Source organism: Homo sapiens, chromosome 2, assembly GCF_000001405.40.
Source record: "Homo sapiens chromosome 2, GRCh38.p14 Primary Assembly".
Classification (NCBI taxonomy): domain Eukaryota; kingdom Metazoa; phylum Chordata; class Mammalia; order Primates; family Hominidae; genus Homo; species Homo sapiens.
This window is the reverse complement of record NC_000002.12, coordinates 109,925,761-109,936,540: the sequence shown is the minus strand read 5'-3', so window position 1 is coordinate 109,936,540 and position 10,780 is coordinate 109,925,761. Positions and strand designations below refer to the sequence as shown.

The 10,780-nt window shown below is 42.8% G+C and overlaps 1 long non-coding RNA gene across 1 annotated transcript in view; it reads right to left on the bottom strand.

The window, feature by feature from the left end:
- The window catches only part of LIMS3-LOC440895 (LIMS3-LOC440895 readthrough), a 70,143-nt gene that overhangs the window by 32,034 nt on the left and 27,329 nt on the right, over positions 1–10,780 (bottom strand). The window contains exons 10-12 of the long non-coding RNA NR_027145.2: positions 3,336–3,453; positions 1,647–1,729; positions 203–363 (exon numbers count right to left, since the gene is read on the bottom strand). This is a non-coding gene — a long non-coding RNA (LIMS3-LOC440895 readthrough). The remainder of the gene's footprint in view (positions 1–202; positions 364–1,646; positions 1,730–3,335; positions 3,454–10,780) is intronic.

Sequence of the window (10,780 nt, the reverse complement as noted above, 5' to 3'; positions counted from 1 at the left end):
TTCCTGGTTGCATATCTGCCAGTGGGGAGAATGCATCCTTGCAGGGTGAGGAGTCAGCCTTAGAAAGCAAGGCCTTTAGGAACCAGTTACCACTAAGCATACCCTATAACAACTCTTTGAGGTGCTGGTTTAGTCTGCTCAGGCTGCCATAACCAAGTACTCCCAGCCAAGTGGCTTAAACAGTAGAAATGTGTTTCCTTACAGTTCTGGAAGCCAAAATTCTGAGATCAGGATGCGGCAGGGTTGGTTTACAGTAAGGGCTCTCTGCTTGGCTGGTAGCTGGCCATCTCCTCTCTGTGTCTTCACACGGTGCTCCCTCTGTGTGTATCTGTGTCCAAGTTTCCTCTTCTAATAAGGACAGTCCTATTGGATCAGGGCCTGCTCTAAGGACCTCATTTTACTTGGATTACCTCTTTAAAGACCCTACCATATTCTGTGATACTGGGGGTTAGGACTTCAACACATGAATTTTGAGGAGATACAATTCAGCCCATAAGAAGTACTGATTACAACATCCACATTAGAGCTTAGGAAATGCAGGTTCAGAGAGGAGCATCAGACTGCCTCAGGTCACACAGCTTGAAAATGGCAGCACTGGGATTGCAAACCCAGACCTACTAGCACAGAGGCATCTCTACTCTACTCTGCAGCTACTAGGTAGTTTCAGCTGGGAAAATGAACAAAGTCCATATTCAGCCTGAGAATTCCACCCAATTCTATTTGCCAGTTATCCCCTAGATTCCACAGGATTTTGTGGAATTCTTTTTAAAACACTGCAATGTGACAATCAAGAGGTAGGGGCAAAGTCAACAGTGGTGGTTGAAAATAGAGGCCAAACCTTCTCCAATGCCTTCACAAGGCAGGGCACGCAGGAGCCCTGCTGTCTTTGGCTCCATCTCCTTCCCCTTCCCCTCACTCACTCCACTCCACTCCAGCCTCAATGGCTTCCTTTATGCTCCTCAAACATTCCCCAGGGCCTTTGCTCTAGCTATTCCCTTAGCCTGGATGATGCATTCCCCAGACACCCAAGTGTTTGCTCAGATCGTACCTTCTTAGGGAGGCAGACCTTGATCCCCACCCTACTGAACTCTTCAGCCCACCACTGCCCTCCTGCTCCCCTCCCCCTTGATCTTTTACTTCCTTGCATTGCCCTTATCACCTTCTGCCACACGATATGATTCTTTATATCTTCCATTTATTCTTAACTATCTATGTACTCCTGATAGAACACAATCTCCACAAGGGTGGAGATCTTTAATTTGTGCACAGGTATTTCCCAAGCACCTAAAATAGTGTCCAGAAAACAGAAGGTTTTCAAAAACTGTTTGTTGAATGAGACTTTCTGTAAGTGGTGTGGAATGGTTTCCATTAAGAGGGGACTGGTGGGAAAAAGTGGAACCTTCACATAATGGAGTACTGTTCAGCCATAAAAAGAAATGGAGTCTGTCTCTGGATACTATGAAGTGATGGCCAGGATATATTCAGTGAAAAAGCAAGGTAGAGATAAATGTGTATAGCATATTGCTATTCATCTAAGATAGAATATGAATATATAAACATATTTGCTTATATTAAAATACCAAAGGCAGGACATACTAAAAACTTCTTTCAAAGTTATCTTTGGAAGAATGAGGAAAAGGACTCACCCTTAATGCTCAGATTGTAGTCCTTAAATAGCCTATTTTACAAGAAGAAGCAGAGATCCTTGGAGAAATGGATGATTCCAGGTCTGGAGAAGGAAATACACAAATAAACCTAAAACATCTTGTCATACCAGGAACCAAGGAGGCTGTCTGAGATGGCTAGCAGCATGTCCGAAGGGCTCAGGGACAAAATTAAAGAGCTTCTGCTAGCCAGAATAAGGCCATTTCTCCACCAATAAGGATAATAATGGCAAAACATTGAAACATATTAAGTATGCTAAAAGTCTGTGCATTTCTAATGATACAGATATATAACTAGAGAATGCTTAGAAAATCACTTCATTATTTAGAAAACTGGTAAGCAGAGGGGAAGATTCAAGCATCTTGAAAGGTGGGATACTGCTTTTCTGAGTCAAACTATATTCAGAGTAACCAAACTGTAGATAATGGAAAGCTTCTCTTTATTGAAGTATTCCAGCTGAGAAATGAAAAAGAAATGTACAATTAAAATATAACCACAAGCAATCCCTGATGAGTTAGTGGATATGGGCAATGACCATCAGTGACTACTAACATCACACAAAAAAGAAAAATGTCTTTTTCTCCCAATGCGAGAACACACTAACACCTAAGACACACTTTTGCCAAAAATTAGAACTTGAATCTGTCCAGGTCTCCAGTTCTAATGCTGAGTTTTGAGGAATACAGGCAACCAAGGAATGTGCTAAATGACACCAGAGGGATGTAATTAATAAAATCCAGATTGCAGAAAACTCTAGAGGACAAACCATCCATTTTCAACAAACAAACAAACAAACAAAGGGGAGTGGAGAGAAATCTATAGATCAAAAGAAATTTTTAAAAAATTTTTTGAGACAGGGTCTCACTCTGTCACCCAGAATGGAGTGCAATGGTCCAGTCATAGCTCACTGCAACTTCGAACTCCTAGGCTCAAGCCATCCTCGCACCTCAGCCTCCAGAGTAGCTGGGACTACAGGCATGTGCCACCATGCCCGGCTAGTTTTTTAAATTTTTTTTGTAGAGACGGAGTTTCACTCTGTTGCCCAGGCTCGTCTTGAATTCCTAGCCTCAAGTAATCCTCCTGCCTCAGCCTCCCAAAGTGCTTGGATTACAAGCATGAGCCAGCCTCAAAAGAGACTTAAAAGACATATTGGCCAATTGGCCAATTTCAATTTGGATCCTAGTTTGAACAAAAAAATTGTTAAAAAAATTATGTGACAGAGAAAATTGAACTAACTGGATATTTGATAATTTTAAAGGATTATTACATTTTTAGATGTGATAATGATGTTGTTATTACATTTTATAAAGAAGTCTTACTTTTTAGAGATGATCATATCTTTTTAGAGATGTTTATGCATAAAATGATGAGGAGTGAGGGGGCATACAAATGGAACATGGTTGACTATGAGTTAATCAGTGTGAAGCTGTATGACAGTGGCATGAGAGTTTATTATATTTTTCTTTCTACTTTTGTATATATTTTAAATTATCCATAATATATTTTTAAAATGTACAACTCTTTCCAATTTGACTCCTTAAATTTAGCAGCATTAATATTGAGAGTTACTTTAAGATATCCCCTAAAATTCCTGGGATTTTCATGGTCACACATCAGGTACCCAATAGCTACATGTTCCTGTCTCTAAAATATGGTGAAAAACATCTGACCTGTTTGGAGGCATCACCCAGTTGTTTGGAGGCAAACTTGTGCACAGTAGTGATCTCCTCGGTTCACTCTGAGTCATCAATTCTGCAGCTCTCAGTTTGTGGAGAAATTTTCTAGAAACTGGAGAGAGAGGGGTAAAATAATAGGAGACATACAATAAAGCCAATGACACCATAATGGGGCTGTCAGGAGGCAGAAAAGGAGACGAGCAAAAAGAAACAAACAACATAAACATATGGATACATAATAAGTAAGAGTTACATCAGCGTTTCCCAAACCTGGCTGCCAGGTAGAATCATTTGCAGCACTTGTTTAAAATTTAGATGCCCAAATCCTGTCTCTGAAAATGCTGACTTAGGTCTGGTGTTGGGTCCCCTGCACTGTATTTTGAAACAAGTCCACAGGTGGTTTCCATTCCTGGTAGAGTAGGGGAGCCACTGATCTGCACTGCTAATTACAAACAATTCACCAGGGTTTTTGGGGGGCTTACAGTGGCTGTAGTCTTCAAACCTGGTATTTTCAAAATCCATTACCTCAGCATGGGAAAAAAGACTAGAAAAATAAAGCCCTGGTGAGCAGGGAATTAGATTTTTAGAAGTGTACTGAAACTCAAAAGTTGAAGTACATTTGATTCTCATTATTCTGGTTATAAAGTGACCACAAACAGTGAATTAGCAAATACTGAACCATTGCTCCTAGAGGACATACAGGTTTGGGTTCCTGCAAGTCTCTGGTCACAGTATTTTCATCAATCAGTCAATATACAACGTTGTTTTATGTGCCAAATTAACCGACGCAGAGCTCTAAATTATGCAGCTCAACTTCATATGAAATACAGGACAACAATCAGGTCTTTGGGGGTGGAGGTGGGAGGATGTATTGCTCTGCATTCAAGCAGTAAAAACATGTGACACTCAAATTAGGAGGATATGAGGAGAGTTTAATCAAAGGACTACTTACAAAGGTGGGGGTGGGGGGTGAAATGTAGCAGGTCCAGAACAATCTCTAGGGCTGGGGAGGCAGAGCTAGCACCACCCTCTCAGCCCTGTCCTCAGGCCCAAGGGAGAAGGGGGAGGAGCAACTCCTGCCTGGAGGAGAAGGGAGTATGGAGAGACACTGCCCTCAGAGGGGCAAGTGCAAAGTGAAAATGTGAGCCCTTCTGTCCAAAAAGCAGGCAAAACGTGACATTAAAGCATAAATTATTTTGTTGTTCCTCAGGTAAGTCTCCCCACTTCTCCTCTCTCCTTTTTCTCTTTTATCCTTTTCTCTTCCTCTCTCCTTGTCACATTGCTATTTATTTGCTATTTAATGTTACAGTCCCTCTTCCCTCTGGCATGGGGATAGTGCATATCTTAGGGGACAGTGCAGACCCTCAAAGATGTCTATGGGCCCCACCCTGCATCTCAATCCATACTGCTTAGCCTTATTCTTTCCCAACCATTCATTTTAAGTCTCAGCTTTTTGGGAGACTGAGGCAGGATAATTGCTTGAACCTGGGAGGCAGAGGTTGCAGTGAGCTGAGATGGAGCCACTGCACTCCAGCCTGGGCGAAAGAGCTCAGTAAAAGAAAAAAAATTACTAGTATGCTTAATGAAGATTTGTTCAGGTTTAAATGAGCAGTTAAGGCTAGGCATGGTGGCTCAAGCCTATAATCCCGGTGCTTTGAGAGGTCAAAGGGGGAGGATCACTTGAGGCCAGGAGTTTAAGACTAGCCTGGGCAACACAGTATGACCCTGTCTCTACAAAAAACTAAAAATTTAGCAGGGTGTGGTGGTGTACACCTGTAGTCTCAACTACCCAAGAGGCTGAGACAGAAGGATCACTTGAGCCCAGGAGTCCAAGGCTATAGTGACTTATAATTGCCACTGCCTATCAACCTGGGCAACAGAGCAAGACCCTGTCTCTAAAAAAAGTAAAATAAAATAAAATAATTAAACGAGCCATTAAGATATAAATGATATATGCATGCTGTGATTTAGTCTATGGATTTATTCTAAAATTGCTAAAATGTCACCATGTAGTGACCATGAAAATCCCTTCAAAAAATCAATGAATCCAGGAGCTGTTTTTTTGAAAAAATTAACAAAATAGATAGTCTGCTAGCTAGACAAATAAGGAAGAAAAGACAGAATAACCAAATTGACACAATAAAAAATGATGAAGGAAATATCACCATTGATCCCACAGAAATACAAACTACTCTCAGAAAGTACTGTAAACACCTCTACGCAAATAAACTAGAAAATCTAGAAGAAATGAATAAATTCCTGGAAACAAACACCCTCCCAAGACTAAATCAGGAAGAAATCGAATCCCTGAATACACTAATAACAAGTTCTGAAATTAAGGCAGTAATTAATAGCCTACCAATCAAAAAAAGCCTAGGACCAGACGGATTCACAGCCAAATTCTACCAGAGGTACAAAGAGGAGCTGGTACCATTTATCCTGTAACTATTCCAAACAATTGAAAAGGAGGGACTCCTCCCTAACTCATCTTGTGAGGCCAGCATCATCCTGATACCCAAACCTGGCAGAGACACAACAAAAAAAGAAAACTTCAAGCCAATATCCCTGATGAACATTGATGTGAAAATCCTCAATAAAATACTGGCAAACTGAATCCAGTAGCACATTAAAAAGTTTATTCACTATGATCAAGTTGGCTTCATCCCTTGGATGCAAGGTTGGTTCAACATATGTAAATCAATAAATGTAATCCATCACATAAACAGAATCAATGACAAAAACCACATGATTATCTCAATAGATGTAGAAAAAGCCTTTGATAAAATTGAACATCACTTCATGTTAAAAACTCTCAATAAACTAGGTATTGATGGAACATAAAATAATAAGAGCTATTTATGACAAACCCATAGCCAAGATTATACTAAATGGGCAAAAGCTGGAAGCATTCCCTTTACAAACCACCACAAGGCAAGAATGCCCTCTCTTACCACTCCCTTGAATACAGGGAATTTGACAAAAAGATGCCACAGATCTAAAACTGTGCCAACCCCAAGGCTGGAGGAACCAAGGTAAGAGTTTGGGGTTCTCAGAACCTTAATGATTGAAGAAATAGAAAGTGGGGCTGAAATTCTGAGAAGGAACCACCACCTGGCTGAGGGAGGGGTGTCTCAGAGGTGGGACGACCACCTGACTGTGCTGGTGTCTCTGGAGTGGAGGGTTTCTCAGAGGTGCAATGACCACCTGGCTGTGCTGGTGTTTCTGGAGTGGTGGAGGATCTCTCAGAGGTGGGACGACCACCTGACTGTGCTGGTGTCTCTGGAGTGGAGGAGGGTTTCTCAGAGGTGCAATGACCACCTGGCTGTGCTGGTGTTTCTGGAGTGGTGGAGGGATCTCTCAGAGGTGGAATGAGAGTCAGGCAATAATCCCAAACAAAAACATGAAATTTGTGTGGTTTTCATTTTGGTTTTGCTTTGTATTTTAGTAGAGACAGGTTTCCACCATGTTGGCCAGGCTGGTCTTGAACTCCTGACCTCGTGATCTGCCCACCTCAGCCTCCCAAAGTGCTGGGAATATAGGCGTAAGCCACTGCGCCCACCCTATCTTTTGGTTATTAATCCCTTATCAGATAGATAGTTTGCAGCTAATTTCTCCCCTTCTGTGGGTTTTCCCTTCACTTTTTTCCCTTATTGTTCAAAGCCAAGCTCAAGTCCTACCCCTTTGTGAAAACTTCCTTGACCACTCTACTACAGTGTTCGCTTTTTCTATCCTTTGAGTTCCTATCACATTACTATCCCATTCCTCTGGCATCAGTCATCTATTATGGCCTATCTTTTCTTGTACTATTCCCTTTTTTGTGGTTGCAATAGTATGGTGAGATAAAGGGCTCTTGCCTGGAGAGGCTTGGCAGGACTGTGTATGGTAGAATGGCTTTGATGAAACCCCCACCATCCAGGATCTGATTCTTAGCTGACAAGACACTGTGTTGTCAGTATCCCAAAAGCCAACCAATGTCTGACAATTAATCAGCAGATATTTATTGACTGCCTCTGCCACGTCAGGTGCTGTGCTAGGCATAGGTCCACGTTAGCTACCCGTGTCCAACTTCCTATCTCTCACCAGAGCTTAACCTCAACTAAATGGGATTTCTCAACATTCTCTTATCACACCAGGCTCTTCTTACAGGCGGGTCTCTTTGCCTAAAAAGCCCACTCACCCCCCACCCCGCCCTCCGCCCTTTCCCCTTTCTCCCTCTGGAAAGCTCCTTCCATGTCTTTCAAACCCCAGTGCAGCCTTCACCACCTTTGGGAAATCTTTGCAGATGCCCTACAATCACCCAGTCTCTCTGAGCAATCTCTGTATCCCATTCATATATATACATATATATACACACACATATATATATATATGTGTATATATATTTGTTGTTGTCGTTGTTGTTGTTGTTGAGATGGAGTCTCGCTCTGTCACCCAGGCTGGAGTGCACTGGTGCAATTGCAGTTCACTGCAACCTCTGCCTCCTGGTTTCAAGCAATTCTCCTGCCTCAGCCTCCTGAGTAGTTGGGACTACAGGTGCCCACCACCACACCCAGCTAATTTTTGTATTTTTAGTAGAGACAGGATTTCGCCACATTGGTTAGGCTGGTCTTGAACTCCTGATCTCAGGTGATCCGCCTGCCTCGGCCTCTCAAAGTGCTGGGATTACAGGCATGAGCTACCATGCCTGGCCTCCCATTCATATTTCTAACATTGATTCTTATCACATTATATGCTGATGCTTTTTTTTTTCTTTTTCTTTTTTTTTTTTAGAAAGGTCTCACTTTGTCGCCCAGGCTGGAGTACAGTGGTATGATCATGGCTCACTGCAGCCTCGACGTCCTGAGCTCAGGGGATTCTTCCACCTCAGCCTCCCGAGTAGCTGGGACTACAGGTGCATGCTACCACACCTGGCTAATTTTTTGTATTTTTAGTAGAGATGGGGTTTCGTTGTGTTGCTCATGCTGGTTTTGAACTCCTGGACTCAAGCCATCTGCCTGCCTAGGCCTTCCAAAGGGCTGGGATTACAGGCGTGAGCCACCGTGCCTGGCCTCTGATGCACTTCTTTTTTTTGTGGTCCTCAACCTTTTTTGTGGTCCTTGACCTTTTTGGCACCATGGACCAGTTTCATGGAAAGCAATTTTTCCACAGACGGTGGTGGTGGAGATGGTTTCAGGATGATTCAAGCATATTACATTTATTGTGTACTTTGGAGATGGTTTCAGGATGATTCAAGCATATTACATTTATTGTGTACTTTACTTCTATTACTACATTGTAATATATAATGAGATAATTACACAACTCACTATAAGGTAGAATCTGTGGGGGTCCTGAGCTTGTTTTCCCGCAACTAGATGGTCTCATCTGAGGGTGATGGGAGACAGTGACAGATCATCAGGCATCAGATTCTCATAAGGAGCACCCAACCTAGATCCCTCACATGCACAGTTCACAATAGGGTTTGTGCCCCTATAAGAATCTGATGTGACCGATGATCTGACAGGAGGCAGATGGTGATGCAAGTGATAAGGAGAGGATGTAAATACAGAGGAAGCTTCACTTAGGGACCACTGCTCTAGTTGTTCTTTTTTTTTTTTTTTGAGACAGAGTTTCACTCTTGTTGCCCAGGCTGGAGTGCAATGGTGCGATCTCGGCTCTCTGCAATCTCCACCTCCTGGGTTGAAGCGATTCTCCTGACTCAACCTCCCAAGTAGCTGGGATTACAGGCATGTGCCACCATGCCCGGCTAATTTTGTATTTTTAGTAGAAACAGGGTTTCTCCATGTTGGTCAGGCTACTCTCGAACTCCCGACCTCAGGTGATCTGCCTGCCTTGGCCTCCCAAAGTGCTGGGATTACAGGTGTGAGCCATCACGCCTGGCCAGAATGTCACTAATTTTTATTGCAAGGGTAAATGGCTTCTGAGATCTAAAATTTTACCAGGCAGCGTGACTGGTTCATCAGAGTGAAGGCTTTACTTTTAACTCTACTAAGTTAGAATTTGTGATAATTAAGACAGGAGCTGCTTAAAAGCAGCTAAAGCTCAGCATGGCTCCATCTATGGGGAAAATTTTGCCAAAAAATTATGAAAACAATATTGTAGCATATGCATTTAATTGATTTAACAGAGCAAGTTCAAAAAATAAAGTTACCATTTCCTATTATTATAGAATTTTGGCAAGCTGAAAGCACCATCTGAAGAGTCCCCTTTCTCTACAAAAAAAAAAAAAAAAACTCCAAACAAAAAATTTAAAAACCATTTCCGTAACATTTTGATGTATTCCCTCCATCTTTTCAAAAGGCCATTTTGCACATATTTATGATCATGTATAGTATTTTAGATCGTGCTTTTACTATTATAAGTATTTCCCAAGTAGATTTTTTTTAATTTAATTTTTTTTTTCAGACAGGGTCTCACTGTCCCCCAGGCTGGAGTGCAGCGGTGCGATCATAGCTCACTGCAGCCTTGACCTGGGCTCAAGCCATCCTCAGTCTCCAGAGTAGCTGGTCGCCATAGGCATGTGCCACCATGCCTAACTTTTTGATTTTTTGTAGAGACGGGGTCTCATCACCACACCTGCCTAGTTTTTAATTTTTTGTAGAACTGGGGTCTTGCTATGTTGCCCAGGCTTGTCTTGGAACTCCTGGGCTCAAGCAGTCCTTCTGCCATGGCCTGGGATGCCCACTCCCTATCCTCCTTCCCCGCCTGGCCAACTTCTGTTCATCTCTCAAGATCCAGCTCCTCTAGGAAGCCTCCCCTCTCCTCCCCTCCCTGGGCTCCTGCCACTATGGTCTAGCATGCTCTGTGCTCACCCCATCCAACACTTCCCACAGGGAGATGTAATGACCTGTCTCACCTCTACAGGGAAGGAAATGGAATGCAAGACTCAGACAGAGCCCCCAGGATTCTCTACATTTAAGGTGGATGCAGAGCTGGGCAGACCAAGCACTGGAAGAGGAATGCCCTGGTAGTGGGTGTCTTCCCAGCACACTGCACACAGTGACTCAGGGCTTGCTGAATTTTTTATTAAGCTGTATATCTCCTTTCTTTTTTTTTTTTTTTTTTTTTGAGATGGAGTCTTTCTTACTCTGTCACCCAGGCTGGAGTGCAATGGTGCAATCTCAGCTCACTGCAACCTCTGCCTCCTGGATTCAAGTGATTCTACTGCCTCAGCCTCCCAAGTAGCTGGGACTACAGGTGCACACCACCACGCCCTACTAATTTTTGTATTTTTAATAGAGATGAGGTTTCACTGTGTTGGCCAGGCTGGTCTCAAACTCCTGACCTCAAGTGATCCACTGGCCTCGGCCTCCCAACGTGCTGGGATTACAGGTGTGAGCCACTGTGCCTGGCCTGTATCTCCTTTCTTAAGAATAATAATAATTAAAAAACCCAGCATTTACATTGAGTAGAGGGAAGACTACACCATTGTTCTAGAT